The sequence below is a fragment of the Homo sapiens genome, chromosome 1 (assembly GCF_000001405.40).
Source record: "Homo sapiens chromosome 1, GRCh38.p14 Primary Assembly".
NCBI classification, from domain to species: domain Eukaryota; kingdom Metazoa; phylum Chordata; class Mammalia; order Primates; family Hominidae; genus Homo; species Homo sapiens.
This window is the reverse complement of record NC_000001.11, coordinates 153,787,731-153,803,087: the sequence shown is the minus strand read 5'-3', so window position 1 is coordinate 153,803,087 and position 15,357 is coordinate 153,787,731. Positions and strand designations below refer to the sequence as shown.

The 15,357-nt window shown below is 54.9% G+C and overlaps 3 long non-coding RNA genes and 1 pseudogene across 4 annotated transcripts, besides 3 other annotated features; 1 reads left to right on the top strand and 3 right to left on the bottom strand.

Moving 5' to 3' along the window:
• LOC124904425 (uncharacterized) lies at nt 1-1,567 on the bottom strand. Its single transcript, XR_007066633.1, has 4 exons — nt 1,494-1,567; nt 1,264-1,371; nt 454-1,135; nt 1-365 (listed from the first exon to the last, which is right to left on the bottom strand). It is a non-coding gene; the product is annotated as an uncharacterized LOC124904425 (long non-coding RNA).
• Nucleotides 1,568-6,785: 5,218 nt separating this feature from the next.
• Nucleotides 6,786-9,141, bottom strand: LOC343052 (immunoglobulin superfamily DCC subclass member 3 pseudogene; annotated as a pseudogene). The gene is made up of 3 exons (NR_126565.1): nt 8,883-9,141; nt 7,365-7,667; nt 6,786-6,883 (listed from the first exon to the last, which is right to left on the bottom strand). The product of NR_126565.1 is annotated as an immunoglobulin superfamily DCC subclass member 3 pseudogene (transcript).
• LOC124904426 (uncharacterized) lies at nt 7,894-13,035 on the bottom strand. Its single transcript, XR_007066634.1, has 3 exons — nt 12,950-13,035; nt 10,902-11,020; nt 7,894-7,940 (listed from the first exon to the last, which is right to left on the bottom strand). It is a non-coding gene; the product is annotated as an uncharacterized LOC124904426 (long non-coding RNA).
• Nucleotides 9,310-9,841: an enhancer, noted in NCBI's record as "H3K27ac-H3K4me1 hESC enhancer chr1:153765723-153766254 (GRCh37/hg19 assembly coordinates)". NCBI's record gives its function as "activates a minimal SCP1, AML or CMV promoter by ChIP-STARR-seq in naive H9 embryonic stem cells {active_cell/tissue: H9 hESC(naive)}" and the evidence as "EXISTENCE:reporter gene assay evidence [ECO:0000049][PMID:30033119]".
• Nucleotides 9,842-10,375: an enhancer, noted in NCBI's record as "H3K4me1 hESC enhancer chr1:153765189-153765722 (GRCh37/hg19 assembly coordinates)". NCBI's record gives its function as "activates a minimal SCP1, AML or CMV promoter by ChIP-STARR-seq in naive H9 embryonic stem cells {active_cell/tissue: H9 hESC(naive)}" and the evidence as "EXISTENCE:reporter gene assay evidence [ECO:0000049][PMID:30033119]".
• Nucleotides 10,910-11,443: an enhancer, noted in NCBI's record as "H3K4me1 hESC enhancer chr1:153764121-153764654 (GRCh37/hg19 assembly coordinates)". NCBI's record gives its function as "activates a minimal SCP1, AML or CMV promoter by ChIP-STARR-seq in naive H9 embryonic stem cells {active_cell/tissue: H9 hESC(naive)}" and the evidence as "EXISTENCE:reporter gene assay evidence [ECO:0000049][PMID:30033119]".
• Nucleotides 12,430-14,049, top strand: LOC124904424 (uncharacterized). The gene is made up of 2 exons (XR_007066632.1): nt 12,430-13,150; nt 13,306-14,049. It is a non-coding gene; the product is annotated as an uncharacterized LOC124904424 (long non-coding RNA).
• The last annotated feature ends 1,308 nt before the right edge of the window (nt 14,050-15,357 follow it).

Below are 15,357 nucleotides of genomic sequence, written 5' to 3'. Positions count from 1 at the left end.
GTTCATATTTGGATCAAGAAGAGGTGAATATACTGGATGGGGTTATGAGGCAGGAGTAACTGGGTTGGGGGTAACTCCCAGCTGGGCTTGGTTTAGTTTGAGGTTATTTGGTGTGTTGGGGGAAGGGATGCAGATTCTCCCATTTCTTGAGGTCTGGGAGGAACAGAGAAACCACACCCTCTTCTCTCCCACTATGGCCAGTCCTGCCCCTCCCCGGAGAGGAGCTGAGGGACTTTTGGTTCTTTCCTGACTCTGGGGTGACAGGGACAGGTGAGGTAGATTCTTTGGTGTATCTGGAGTTAGTGGCATCTCGGAGGGAGCCAACTTGGAGGGCCCTAGGCCAAGGCCAGCTGTTCCACAGTCACCTGAGGGTGAAGGAGGTCAGGCCTCTGGACCAAGGCCTCAAACACTCCAGTTTCCCCCACTCATTCCCCATCACTGAATCCGCCTCACCTGGGTGGTGAGTTCAGTCTTCTCCCCCAGCTTCCCTCCACTCTGAGTCTGGCCTTGATGGCCCCCAGTTCTGTCCGAGGCAGTCCGAGGCACTGCCCAGCATTCCTGGGACTCCTGTTTGCAGAGGAGGCTGCCCGGGTAGGAAGGGTCAGCAGTGTGGTCTGTCTGGTGCCTCCCTCTGCCTCGCATGGCTCCCAACCCCTCCTCCTGCTCCATGCTCCCCAGAGATGGAGAGGGTGGACCCCTCTTCATGCTGCTGGATGGCAGGGAACTGGCTCTAGCTCATTTCTGCTGCCCTTGTTCTTTGCTTTGGGAGCCCCAGTTCTCTCTTCCCGGCTCATGGCAGGCCTTCTCCTGCCCCTGGTACCACACAGCTCTGAAAAGAATTGGCTTCCTCTCTCTGCCTGAGTCTCCTCATTGGTAAAATTGATTGGTTGTAGATTGGGGCTTTTTTGCTCTCTTTGGCCCTGTGCCACAGTGATGCAGACTGTCTCCCTGGCAGATTTCCCACATTAGCCCTTACCTGGCCCTTAGCTATGTCTCCAGCCCAGGAAGAGGCAGAGGAGGCAAATGATGAGGGCAGCCAGGCCCACGTGGATGCCCACCACAACCCCAGGCAGTGGGCTGCTCTCACCCTGGCTGCAAGAGCACCCAGTCTTGGACTCTGTGGACACTGTGCCATCTGTCAGAGAGAGGACCAGGGTTGGAGGTGAAGCCCAGCCCTCTTCCTGAAGACTGGCAGCCATGGGTCCTATCAGAGGGGCCTGCTCTGACCCCAGCCCTACTACCCTCCTACCAGACCCCACTTACCAGGAGTGGCCAGGGGCACATCACACAATGAGACACAGCGGGCACTGCTATTTCCATCCCCATTGCCATTGAACGCCTGCAGCTTGATGTCATAGAGAGCAGCCGGTTCTGCCGGGAGCAGGGGAATGTGAAGGGGACGGGCATTTCTGGGCCAGGAAGCTCAGTACCTGGGGCAAGATCACACTGAGAAAGGCAGGCCTTGAGTGGCACAGGAAGGTTCAGAGCCTCACCCAGGTCTGTGTAGAGGAAGGAGCTGACACTGCTGGCCAGGAGCAGAGGCCCCTGAAAATGGGCAGCAGGCAGCTTGCGGTGAAAGTTTGAAGCCTTGGATGGGCCCCAGCTGGGGTGGCAGCTCCCAGGAGGCCTGCACAGAGGTGGCATTCAGCACTTTGGTGGAGAAGCCCAGGGCAGCAGGGGCTGCAGAGGAAAACAAGCAAACTAGTTGGCAGTCCCTGCCCACCTGAGGCCAGGGACTTCCCAGGGCTGGAGAGGCTGTCACTCACTGCTGCCCATGGTGGAGGCAAAGATGGGAGCAGAGTCCTGACTGGCACCCTCTGCTGAGTAGGCCCGCAAATGGATGGTGTAGGCTGTGGCAGGCTCCAGGTTGGAGAAGACGTGCTCAGAAGTGCCTTTGCTTATGGCCTCTTGGAGCTCCGGGCCAGATGGCTCTGAGGAGCAAAGCAGCATCTTCTCACTAGCCACGTCCCCACACCTTCACAAACTGGGGACGAAGCCCCTCTTGGTGCCTGGCTGGGCCAGCCAAGCCTCCAAGGAGAGCAGGGAAGGGAGCTACAGAAGTTGGAGCTAAGCTGAGAAAGGATGAGGATGAGGATGAGGAAAGGGCCTAGAGTCAAGCTGAAAAGCAGTAAGGAAGCACCAAAAGACCATGTACAGAGGCAGCCAGCCCAGAGAACCACAGGCCCAGAGGCCTGGGAAGAATCCAGAAGGGTCTGGGGTCATGGAGGAGACTGGGGCTCAGAGAGTGAGAGGGACTCACCCAGGACATCAGCAGTCAGGAGCAGAGATGGGCTGGTGCCAGGGACTCCTGGCCCCTGGCCCTGCTCTGAGGTCAAAGCCCTCTCCACCCACCCACACCCACCTCCCACAGGCCGGAGGTGCAGCACGTAGCCAATGATGTCCCTGCTGGAGGGGGGGGTGGCTCCCAGGACACTCGAATGGCAGAAGTAGAGAGAGCCATGGCATGCAGGCCCCTGGGGACGGGGTGGCTCTGGGCCCCCTGTCACAACCAGGCGGGCACTGGCCTGGTTGGAGCCCGTGCTGTTCTCTGCCACGCATTGATAGATGGCCTCATCCTCAACTGAAACCCCTGCCAGCATCAGCGTACTAGAGAAAGACAAACTCAGCTACTGGGAGCCCTTTCCCACCAAGACTTAGTGGAGTGGCCCTAGAGGAGGAGGCTGTGTGGGGACATTACCTGTAATGGAGCAGTCAGGGCAGAGCCTCCTGGGGGAGGGGGGAATTGCTGGAAGTAGAAGGTAACTTGCTGGGGGTTTGTGGATGGGTGTGGATTTTTGAGATTTAGGTAGTGAGTGTTGCATGTAGGTGGGGGTGGACGCCCAGGGTGGGTAGGGGGACCTACCATTGCCAGTGGGCAGTGGGGAGTGGTGAGACACGAGTACCTATTGTTGTGAGTCAGCCTGATGTTATTCCCAGGACTCAACACCTTCCCATTCTTCAGCCAGACCAGACGGGACTCAGGGACGCCCTGGGCCACGCAGGTGAAGATGGCACTGCTGCCCGGAGGCTTGGACAAGGACTGTGGCCACTGGACAAACTCGGGGAGCTGGGCAGGCAATAGCATGGAGGAAGGTGCCGTGAGACCCAGCCTCTTGCCTCCTGCCCTGGACCCTCTCCAGATCCAGGCTCCTGTCAGGGAGCTGGGGTGCTCCAGCACTCTCCCCACCCAGTTGGGCCCTTGGGGCTCACCCTGCACGAGCAGGACGCCCTGCGCTGTGCGCCGGACATGGGTGCCTGGCCGATTGGCGGCGCAGACATAGACACCTGAGTGCTGGACTGAGACGTCGGAGATCATGAGATTCCCTGTGTCCAGAATGTCCAGAACTTGGATGCCCTCTACGCCGATGGAGCGGCCATCTGCAAGAAGGCGTTGGGGGGTCAGGCTGGGATAGGACGAGGGAACAGGGCTCTGAGAGACAGCAAGGGGGTGGGGGGCGGCTGCGCACCCAGGCGGCTCCAGGAGACAAGCGGCCAAGGGTGACTGGTGGCAATGCACTCCAGCACTGCCGTCTGGTGCACTGTGAGGGTCAGGTTCTGAGGCCCAGACAGGATCTCTGGCTCCTGCAGCAGCCTCAGGGGTCCCACTGTGTGGTGGAAACAAGCAAATTGGATCAGGAAAGGAGAACCTCCTTCCAATACTCAACTTCTACTCCAAGCACACTCTTCCAGCCCACAAATGTCACCAGACCTCAGAGGTGTGCTTTGCAGCTGCTATTCCATCCCCAATTTACAGATTTTAAAAATGACCTGCCCAAAGTCCCATGGAAGTAGCTATCAGGCTGAAGGTCTGGTAGACTGGGGGTGCGGAGAGAGAGGAGAGAGCATTCTCCTCCTACAAACCCTGTGGGTGGCCCCACCTTCCCTGGGCGCCTCACCCTGAGGGGCAGGTAGAGGCACCCACAAAGTTAGTAGGAGGCGCTCCCTCAGAAAGCATGACCAGCCTCCTAAGACCTCAGCCTGCTTAGCTGCTTAGGAAGGATGTGTTTTCCCAAAGTAACTCTTGTTTTGGGTCTAAATCACATCTTCATTTTATGCCATGCTCCCCCGTTTCATTAGTTTATTCAACAGGTCATCACTGGGGGCTCCCATGTGCCAGGCAGCACCCTCACACTGGGAGCACAGTTGTGAACAACATCGTGTGAAACAGAGCTCTGCCTTCCCATAGGCCATCATCCTCATTTTCTTTACCACCTTGTATCATGTGAGAACTTAACGTGTCTTTCCTTTCATAAATGCCCTTTATTAAGAATGTCTCAGATAAAATGTTTCTAAAATGAAAGTTTCTCAAGGGCTGGTCTAAAGTCTTACACATCTTTATCCCTCAAGGTGTAGGATTGTGTTTTGTTCATTCACTTATTCAGCAACTATAGATTGAAGGCCTACTTTGGGCCCAGCCCTTCTCCATTTGCCTCTTGCAAGCTGCAGTACAGGCTGTGGGCTGCCCTGGAATCTCCTGGCCTCATTCAAAGAGGCTGTGTCCTGCCTGGCCAGACAGTTCAGTGAGGGGAGGCTGGGCCACCCGGGCCGACCCCTTCCCCATGCCAGACATTGGCTGCGAGCCCCACAGATTGTCCCATTTTGCCCTCACCACAGCCTGTGTGCGGAGTACTGTTATTTCCCCCATTTACATGAGAAGATCAAGGATCAGAGAGGTTAAGTAACTTGCCCAATGACAGAGGCACTGGCAGAACTGGGGGACTTCCTGGATCTTGGTAGCACTGAACAGCTGACAAAGAGGATCCCCTCTTTAGCCGCTGTGAGCTCCTTGAAGTCTGGGAAATTCTGTCTCACCCTGGTGCACGCCCAGGGTAAGTGCCTGTCCAGGTGTGTGCAGTTGAGTGCATTAGGGGTGAATGGCTTGGGGCCTTGGTCCCCAGCTCCTGCCCCTGGGGAAGACTACTCTTGACACCAGCTCCTTTAGGCAACCCTTGAGCCTTCGGTTTCTGATTGGTCCTCTGCCCCCAACAGGCGCCTGCTCCTCCTGCTAACCTCCTGTCGCTCTCTGGCCATTCGTCTCCCTGCTCCGCGGGCAGCAGAATCCTATGTCTGCTCGATAGCCTTGAGAGACATAGCCTCCTGCCCTGCCCTCCTGCCCCAGACTGTGGATAGGAACGGAACACCACAGGCCAGAGGGACCTCATTGGGCTCCTCTGCTCCTGCAGAGGAGCCGCTGACCCCCACCCTCGCTTTGAGTTTCTAAGTCAGTTACAGATCAGAAACACAACCGTTCCCCCTTCCCCTGCCAGTCTTAAGTTTAAAAATTATATACCGGCCGGGCGCAGTGGCTCACGCCTGTAATCTCAGCACTTTGGGAGGCTGAGGCGGGCAGATCACGAGGTCGAAAGATGGAGACCATCCTAGCCAACATGGTGAAACCCCATCTCTACTAAAAATACAAAAATTAGCCGGGTGCGGTGGCGGGCGCCTGTAGTCCCAGCTACGCGGGAGGCTGAGGCAAGAGAATCGCTTGAACCCGGGAGGCGGAGGTTGCAGTGAGCCGAGATGGCGCCACCGCACTCCAGCCTGGCGACAGAGCGAGACCCCGTCTAAAAACAAAAAAATAGATATAGCCTTCGGTGAGATTTTGTCAGAGATGTTTTGAAAGTTCGCCCAGGTGCAGCAGTGGTGTCCCGTGGTACACTTGCTTATTTATACCCTGGAGCCCCCTAGTGGCTGATTCAGGCATGACTTTCCCTCACAAACACCTGCGGCATCTCTGGTTTAGGCAGGGTCTAACCTGCCTCTCCTGCTAGGCACCAGCTCCTCATAGGCTCTGCTGTGGCCTTCACTTTGGGCACAAAACTCTCCCACCCCATTTGGCCTGCAAGTGGGGTCATCCTGGGTGTTTCATCTCAGGTACAAAGCTATTTTCATCCTCACCCCAAGAAGGAGACGTGCAAGTGTCCATGCACACATGCACATGTACATGCAAGCACAGACACATACACGAACACATGCACATCTACACGCCATGTGTATGGGGGCCACGTGTTCAAAACACAGGCTGACTCAGCCCCAACGCTAGACCCTCCAGAGCTCCCACTACCCTCTGGATCAAGTCCAAACTCCTTTCATGGTATGTGCCTTGCCTACTCGCCAACATTAACTTTGCTACCCTGAATTCTGCCCATTCTGTGGTCCAGCAACACAGAACTGCCTGTGTGAACTTTGTTGTCCTCACCCTTGTGCATTTGTCCAAGGAAATGCCCCCGCCCTTACCTCCTGACCTTGGCTTGCCTCTCTCCACTCACCCTTCAACACCCGGCTTGGGGTAGCTTACTCCAGAAGCCCCTGACAATCCTTGCCCACAGCCCAACCCTGGGTTCCCGCAGCACCACCTTCTCTCTCAGGTTGTGAGCTCCAGGAAGCCAGGGATGGCTCAAGCCTGCTGCCCTCCCACACCTGGCACAGTCATAGGTGCTCAAAATGCCTGCCTGTCCCATGTACAACCACAGCAACCATACCCTCCCCTCTGCCCAGTGCCCACACTGGGCCTGGCTTACCACTCAGGGTCAGCTGGGCATCCTGGCTGTGGCGGGTACTGGCCACATTCCATGCCACGCAGCGGTAGGTTCCCATGTCAGTCTGGCTCACACTGGTGATGTGGAGGATGCCACTAGGCAGCAGTGTGACCCTGAGGATGCAGAGGTCAGGGCTCCATGGCCTGTGCCCTGGCCCACAGCCCACCGTCCCATTGCACTCCTGGCAGGTGCTCACCGGTGGTTGGCAGTATTCAGGGCTGTGCCATTGTGCTCCCAGGAAATGGATGGCTCAGGCACCCCCTGGATCAGGCACTGGAAGCGAGCAACTCCACCCCGCTCCACCTCAATGGATTCTGGATGTTGGTGGAAGCGGGACAGACCTAGAGGATGGGGGGGCCACTTGGGCACCTGCAGAGCTGGCCCTGGGCTATCCCCCCACAACCAAGTCCCAGGGCTGGGCCCCACCTCTGTGCCCACATCTGCCACATCCTCTTCAGTATAGAGCCCTGCAGCCTCATGTCTAGGACTTCTGTGGGCTATAAGCACTTTGCCTTCCTCCATTACAAAAATTTTAAATCATAGTTTACAATGGCATTGGAATATAGACAAGTATAATCCAGTCTGGACTCATTTTTACATATTTATTATTGTATTCATTTTTTTCTTCTGGTTTTGAAGAAGTTAAAACATTTTTGTGGGCCCCTAAAAGAATCAGAGGCTCTACCAGTGTGTACACTGTGTCTAATGGCTGGGCTGGCCCTGCTCAGGCCCACTCTCAGCGAGTCTGGGCCCCATGGGTGCCTTCTGTGGGTGCCCCACCAACTCTCATCCCCCAATCCCAGGAGCAGCCCTGTCACTTACTTGCCAGCTGTACCCGGGCCTGTCGGCTCACCAGCCGCCCGTAGCGGTTCTGGGCCACGCAGTGGTACTCGTGGGCACGGGAAGGGAGGCTCCGGCGGGAAGGCAGGGCGGCCAGGTGCAGGGAGCCATCTGGCATCAGGGTGACACCACTCTCATTGGCTAAGGCCAGCCTATCCCGCTGCCAGGAAATGGACACAGGCGGCTCACCCTCCACCTGGCAGGGCAGCACCAGTGGGTGCTCCCACACAGCCACTGTGTCCCCCAGCTCCTGCACGAAGGCCAGCTCGGAGCCTGCAGCACAGCCTGTAGGGACAGCCAGCACAGCCTGAACACGGCGGCCCCCTGAGGCCCACCCTTTGTCCACCACCTCCCCCATGGCTTTGATTCCCTCCCAGCCTTGGCGAGGGGCAAGGGACAGGACTTGACTTTAGGGAGACTTTGGGTCAGCAAAGGAGGAACAGGGAAGAGAGGGCAGGGCCTGGCCATCTGAGGAGCAGGGCGGGCCACTGTCCGGCTGGCGGGTGCGGTGTGGGCCTGGCGGGCCGGCTGTGATTGATGGCCTCTTTCAGCTGGGCCCTGGCAACGGGGAGGGGGCGGGGTGGGCACAATGGTGAGGTCAGGGGCTGAGGCGTGAGCATTGTGCTCCCCAGGGGACAATGGGATCGCCCCCTCCCTCCCCCACCGGCCCATCTGCCTGTCTGCCTGCAGGGTCAGCTTCCCAGGACTCCTGGCTCTCCCCCTTCCCCCTCCCGCCACCAGGACCCTGGCCTCTGAATAGGGAAGGAACACACTTACACTCACACACACTCATTCACGGACACACACACACTTGGATTAAAAATCACAACCTCACTGGCCACCAGGTCTTCTAGACACAGACAGATTCCATCCCAGATGCACACTCAAGGAGGCCCCAAACACAGGTCACACATAGATGTCCCTACAGACTCAAAGTCACAAATACATAAGCACAGGGCCACAGACACTAACAGCACAGGCCCAGAAATGCATGAGCAGAGCTGTGAACCCACAGCCTCCCTTCCCACACACCCCCATAAATACAATAACTCAGCCTGTAAGGCTGAGCCAGGACCCCCAGCAGATGGGGTGGATAGGCGGGCAGACAGAGCCTCCGAGGGGCACATGGGCAGGGGGCTCAGCCAGCCTTGGTTGGCTCAGGGACATCTGTGGGTAAGCCTCTGGGGCCCTGCCTCTGCATGCCCCGCAGTCTGCTCAGCCACTTGCCTCACGTGGCCCCCAGGTCCCCTTCTAGCCACTGTGCCCCAAAGCCTGGGCTCCTAGAGCACCCCCCACAGCTCTCCCGCAGCCCTGCCTGCCCCTCCTGCTCACCCCTCTCCTCTGCTGTCCTCAGGGTTTCTCCATCTCCACTCCGGCCACCTCCATCCCTCTGCTTCCCCAACCTTGCCCCGCAACTCTCCCACCCCTATGCCTGCCTCTTTTTCTTCCCCGTCCCTCTGCCCTGGCTTTCCCTATGGCCCCCATGGCTCAGCCTCTTACCCCAGCCTGGGAGCAGCAGCAGCAGCAGCCCCATGTCCCTGCCAGGCACGGCCCCTCAGCCTGGGCAACTTCTCCAGCAGCCCCAGTCTCCTGCCTTCAGCCTGGGGGCCCTTGGGCTGTGGGCATTCTCCACCCCGCACTTTGGCGCACAATGTGGGGGCCCTGGTCTTGCTTTGGGGAGCCCAGGTTCTGGGGTGCCAAGCTCTGGGGTCGAGACTGAAGGCTACTGTCCTTGCCTTCGTGTTCCTGGAGCTGGGTCTCTCTCTGCTTTCAGCCTGAGCCCCCTCCCCACTCCTATCCCCACTGTCCCCTCCTCCCAGGGCCAGGACCCAGACACCGAGACAATTGGGGCGGGGAAAGGGGGCGAGGGCCAATGAGAGCGGGGCAAAGTTGGGGGGTCAGACCCGCCCCTTTCTCAGCTTCCAGAAATCTCTCCCAGCCCATTACCCACCCCTTACTCCCTCTCAAACTTTGACTGAATGAGAGTGAAGTTCTAGGAGGAGTTGGGGCATCTGGTCCCCCAAGCCCATCCCTGGGGATCCATGTCCTGGACAGGGGTGGCTTGAAGTCTAATTTGGGGGTCCTGGGGAGGGGTGCAGAGCCCCCACTCTCCTAGTAGAGTCACCGTCCCAGGTGCTGAGCCTGGGCCTGAAGTGGGGGACCTCATCCCATTAGTTCAGTCCCAGCCCAGCAGCCCCAGCACCATTCATAGTGTCAATTTCCAAAGCTGTTTTCTCTATTCTTATTGGGACAATGGATTGGGGCCACCAGGGGCCGGGAGGCTGCCAGCCAGTGGGAGGTGGAGGACCAGCCCCATCCTAAAGAGAAGAAAGAAACCCAGGCCTCCCGCCCCTTGCCAGGCTGACCACTTAAAACATGCAAAAAGAGGGACTACCCTTCCACCAAAGGAGACTGGGACTCAGGCAAGAGCTGACTTTGAGACTTGCTATTTCTGGAGGATACCCTCCCCTAAACGCCACCCTCCTGAAAAAGAGCATAGCTTAGGAAAGATGACAGGGGTACCAGGGATGTATGGGAGTATCTGTGAGAGACAATAAGGGGGAAGGCTGGGCTGGGGGAGTCTCGTGTGGCAGAGAATGAGGCCCCATCACCCAGCTTCCAACCCTAGGAGCTCCAGCCTGTCTGGCCCCTGACTCAGTCTCCCCCTGAATCCCGGTCCCCTTGCCCACTCCTGTCAGCCTCTGCATCTGGCCTTGCCCTGCCCACTTGAGGCTGCCCCTTGCCTCTTCAGCACAAACTCTCACCCTCAGTCTTCGCCCCCGCTTGCTCAGCTGCCTCTCCGGCTTGTCCCACCTTGCTCACAGGCTTCAGAATCAACTCAGGCCATTGTCCCTCCCAACTCAGCCTCCTCCTCTCAGACAGCAGTCCTTGGTGTCTGTGTCCCAGGACGGGGCTACCCCTAGCAGAGACCTCCATGGGACAGGAGAGCGAGCAGCCTCCCCTCGGGGCCTCCTCGTCCCAGCCCTGCATCTCTCTGTCCCGGAGCCTCCTATGAGGGTTCCCGCTGCTTCCCCAGAGGGGCCTCCTGAGTCATGGCGGTGGCCTGGGTAGGGAAAGGCGCATAGGCCCTGGGGTCAGATGTGGAACAAATCACTAGCTGCGTGTCCTTGCATAGGCAAATTTACCTTTCTTTTTTTCTTTTTCTTTTCTTTTTTTTTTTTTTTTTTGAGACAGAGTCTCACACTGTTGCCCGGGATGGAGTGCAGTGGCGTGATCTCAGCTCACTGCAACCTCCGCCTCTGGGTGCAAGTGATTCTCCTGTCTCAGTCCCCCGAGTAGCTGGGATTACAGGTGCCCGCCACCATGCCCGGCTAATGTTTTGTATTTTTATTAGAGGCGGGATTTCTCCATGTTGGCCAGGCTGTTCTTAAACTCCTGACTTCAGGTGATCCGCCCACCTTGGCCTCCCAAAGTGCTGGGATTACAGGCATGAGCCACCACGCCCGGCTGGATTAGTGACCTTATAAGAGAAGGAGAGATCTCTCCACGTGCACATACCAAGGAAAGGCGCGTGGTGACTCCACGGGAACTCAGGCCTCTGCAAGCCAGGGAGGGGCCCAATCGCCGGGAACGGGATTGGCCAGCACCTTCAAGCTTGGACTTTCCAGCCTCCAGTACTGTGAGAAATAAAGTCCTGTTGTTTAAGCCATGTAGTGTCTGGTGTTGTGGCAGCCCGAGCTGACTCAGACGCCCCATCTCCCGGCCAGCTTCCCCTGCTGCTGTCAGAACTGCCCACTCTCCAACAGCTACTGAGAAGATGCATCACTGACTGCGCCACTTGCCTGTCACCTCCAAATCCACACTCCAGCATGGCTCGCAGGACAAAGAATGACCCATACAGGAGACCTGGTCCAAGGCCTGTCACTAAACAGCCATCCCATCTTAGCCTAGTGATCCTCGCCTCTCTGCCATCTGCTCACCTGTAAGAGGGGAGAAGGTCAAGGCCTGCCTTTCACAGTTGCAAGGACGAAGTGAAATGTGGTGCTAAGGGCCAAGCACTTCCTCTTTTTTTAGAAGAGATAAATTTATTTTTTGAGACAGGGTCTTACTCTGCTGCCCAAGCTGGAGTGCAGTGGCAAGATCACAGCTCACTGCAATCTCCACCTCCTGGGCTCAAGTGATTCTCCCACCTCAGCCTCCCGAGTAGCTGGGACTGCAGGTGTGTGTTACCATGCCAGGCTATTTTAAAAAATTTTTCGTAGGTATGTAGAGATAGGGTCTCACTATGTTGCCCAGGCTGGTCTTGAACTCCCGGACTCAAGCGATCTCCCCACTTCAGCCTCCCAAAGTGCTGGGATTATAGGCGTGAGCTGCCGTGCCTGGCCCACTTCCTCTTTTTTCTAGGAACAGCTTTACTGAGATATAATTTACATAGCAGAAATTTCACCCATCACCCATTTAAGGAATTCAGTGGCTTTCTGTATATTTTCAGAGTTGCACAACCATTACCACAATCTATTTTAAAACATTTCATCACCCCGAAAAGAAACTTAGTACCTACTAACATTCACTCCCCATCTGCCCTCTCTCAGCCCCTGCCAATCACCATTCTACTTTCTGTTTCTATGAATATGGCTACTCTGGGTACCTCATATACAGTGGAATCATATGATATTTGTCCTTTCGTGTCTGGCTTATTTCACTTAGCGTAATGTCTTCAAGTTTCATCCATCTTGTAGCCTGTCTCAGCACTTCATTCTTTTTAATCCCTGAATAAGATTCCATTGCATGGATAGACTACATTTTGTTTATCTGCTCATCAGGAGACTGACATTTGGGTTGTTTCCACTTTTTGGCTATTATGAGCAATGCTGCTACAAACATCCGTGGAAATGTTTTTGTGTGGACGGACATCTTCTGTTCTCCTGGGCATGCGCCTAGGAATGGAGTTGCTGGGTCACATGGTAACAGTATTTTGAGGAACCGCCAAACTGTCTTCCACAGTGACTGCAGCATTTTACATTCCAAGCACTTCTTTTTATAACACTCAGGATAGGAGTTAACTTTTATTGGTCCCAGGCCCCCTTGAGAATTTGATTAAAGCCTCCCTCCTGCCACCAAGGGGATAGACCCACACTCCCTGGAACGCTGGCAAACGCCGTCCTGACGCAGGCTAGGAAGCTCCATCCCAGGGATGGAGCCCGGAATAGCCTTGGAGCTCAGGAAACGCCGCCAACATGGACTTGCTGAGAGCTGCCCTCCTTCCCTCCCTCTCCAACAATTGCCTATTGGCTCAACCCCGAACAGTCCTCTGGCGTCATCTGAGTTTTCACAGCTGCCCAGGCTTTCCTGGAATAACGTCCCTGGAAAGTCTCAGCTGGCAAACAGAATCCCCCGAAAAGTCCCCAAGCACGCCCAGGACACTGTCTCCTTTCTCAGCCACCTCCTCTCTCCTGTCAGCCTGGTCCTCTGCCTCTCTCCGAGCCTTTTTCTCCCTCTTCCCTTCTCTGTCCATCTCCATTGGCCTTCCCATCTGTGGTCGGCAGAATAGGGCCCTGGAGAGATCCAAGTCGTCATCCCCGGAACCTATGAATGTGCTAAGTTACCTGGCGGGGAGGAATTAAGGTTGCTACAGCTGATCTTAAAGAGGTGCTCCGGGATTATACAGGTGGGCCCAATGTCATCATGAGGGTCCTTAAAAGCGGAAGAGGAAGGTGGAGAGGAGAGAGAGATGGAGAGCCAGAGACGCGATGTGCAGGAGGAAGGGGCCACAGCCAAGGATGCCCGGCCTCTAGAAACCGGAAAAGGTGAGGAAGCGCGTGCTCCCCTAGAGCCTCCAGAAGGAAACGTAGCCTTCCAACGCTAATTTTAGGCCAGAAAGCCCTGTCAGGCGTCTGACTGTAAAGCTATCAGATCAGACATTCATGTTTGAAGCCCTTATGTCTATGGTAATCTGTTACAGCCCCCGCAGGAAACGCACGACTCCTGTGGGCTCCGTCTCTGATGTTCAATCCAGGGCGCTGCATTTCACACCGGCTTTCATGCGTGTCTACCCCAGAGCGAGCTCCAGGAGGGCGGGGACTTTGTGGTGCTCCCAGCTGTGTGCCCAGAGCAGAGTCTGGCACAGGATGGGCTCTCAGTTAATGTTTGTTAAGGGGAGGAGGTGCCGGGCTTGGTGGCTCGCGCCTGTAATCCCAGCACCTGATCACTTGAGGTCAGCCTGGGCAACAGGGCAAAACCCCATCTCTACAAAAAATTAGCCGGGCACCTGTAGTTCCAGCTACTCGGGAGGCTGCGACAGGAGGTTCATTTGAGCCTGGGACGCAGAGGTTGCAGTGAGCCAAGAAAGCGCCCTGCACTCCAGCCTGGGTGACAGAGTGAGGACCTTGTCTCAATAAAGAAAAAAAAAAATTACAAACGTTTTCTTCATAACCACAATGCCATTATCATATATGACAAAATTCTTTAATTATTCCTTAATATCATCTAATACCTAGTCCTTAACCAAATATCCCTGATTGTCTGAAAAATGTCTTTCTACTGTTTTTCTGTTTTGAATCAAGAACAAGGTTTATACGCTGCATTTGATTATTGTGTCTCTTAATGATCTTATCAAAGGCAAACACCCCCAACCCTCACCCTTATATGTCATTGAATTGTTGAAGAGACTGGGTAAATTTTCCAGTAAAATTTTGCATGTTCTGGATCTGTCTGATTTTTGTGTGTGTGTGTGCTATTGAATACGTTCCTCTATAAATGGATGTTGGCTCAGAGGCTTGGTTTATTCAGGTTCCACTTTTAGGCAAGAAGACTTTATTGTTGGTATTTTATGCTGCACACTGCATTCAGGAGATGCACAATATCTGGTTGTCTTACTGTTAGTGATTCTAAAATTGATTAGGGGCTACAGGTGCTGATAACCTGATCTCTCCAAGATTCCTTGTCAATCTTTTCTTTTTTTAATTTTTTTCTTCGAGATGGAGTTTCACTCTTCTTGCCGAGGCTGGAGTGCAATGGTGCGATCTCAACTCACTGCAACCCCGGCCTCCTGGGTTCAAGTGATTCTCCTGCCTCAGCCTCCTGATTACAGGCGCATACCACCACGCCCAGCTAATTTTGTATTTTTAGTAGAGACGGGGTTTCACCGTGTTGGCCAGGCTGGTCTCAAACTCCTGACCTCAGGTGATCCGCCTGCCTTGGCCTTCCAAAGTGCTGGGATCACAGGCGTGAGCCACCATGTCTGGCCCCTCATCAACCTTTTCTTTCTTTCTTTCTTTCCTTTTTTTTTAAGAGATGAGGTCTCCCTGTGTTGCCCAGGCTGGAGTGCAGTGGCTATTCACAGGCACAATCATAGTTCTCTGCAGCTTCAAACCCCTGGGCTCAAATGTTCTCCCTCTGTAGCCTTCCAAGTGGCTGGGACTACAGGCATGTGCTACCACACCCAGCCTCATCAACCTTTTATCCAATAGTCATAGCTATTGGTAATAATTGCCTGACAGTTATTTCATTAGGGGTTGCAAAATGCTGATTTTCCAGTTCTGTCATTCCTTTCTCATTTATTAACTGAAATTCTTCTGTAAAGAAAGTCCCCTCATCAACTAGGACAATTTGGTAACCCTGAAATTCAGTTCACATGGGAAAGAAGGGAGAGTGCTTAGTTTTTTCCTTTGTTTGCCAATTATCAGAGTAAAGAGTTGGTACTCTGTCCAATGTGTTTCTTTTTCTCTCTCCCTTTATCCATCTTCCCTTTAGTAGAAGTCCCTTTAGTGGGAGTTTGCACTGATACTTTTTTTTTTAATTCAATGTTTCTGCTGCAATCTCTCTGAGGTTCAATTTGTCTCTATCTCAGGCCAGTGGGAGTTCAGTGTCCATTTGCTATTCCCCCGTTCTTTGGTATCTTTGCTTTCTGGAACCATCTGCCCCAGGCTCATTCAGAGTATTTTCTCCCCCAGACCTGAGATCAACCATTCCTCTAAGGGTGCCAGGATTTTTATTCAATTAGTTTTATTTATAC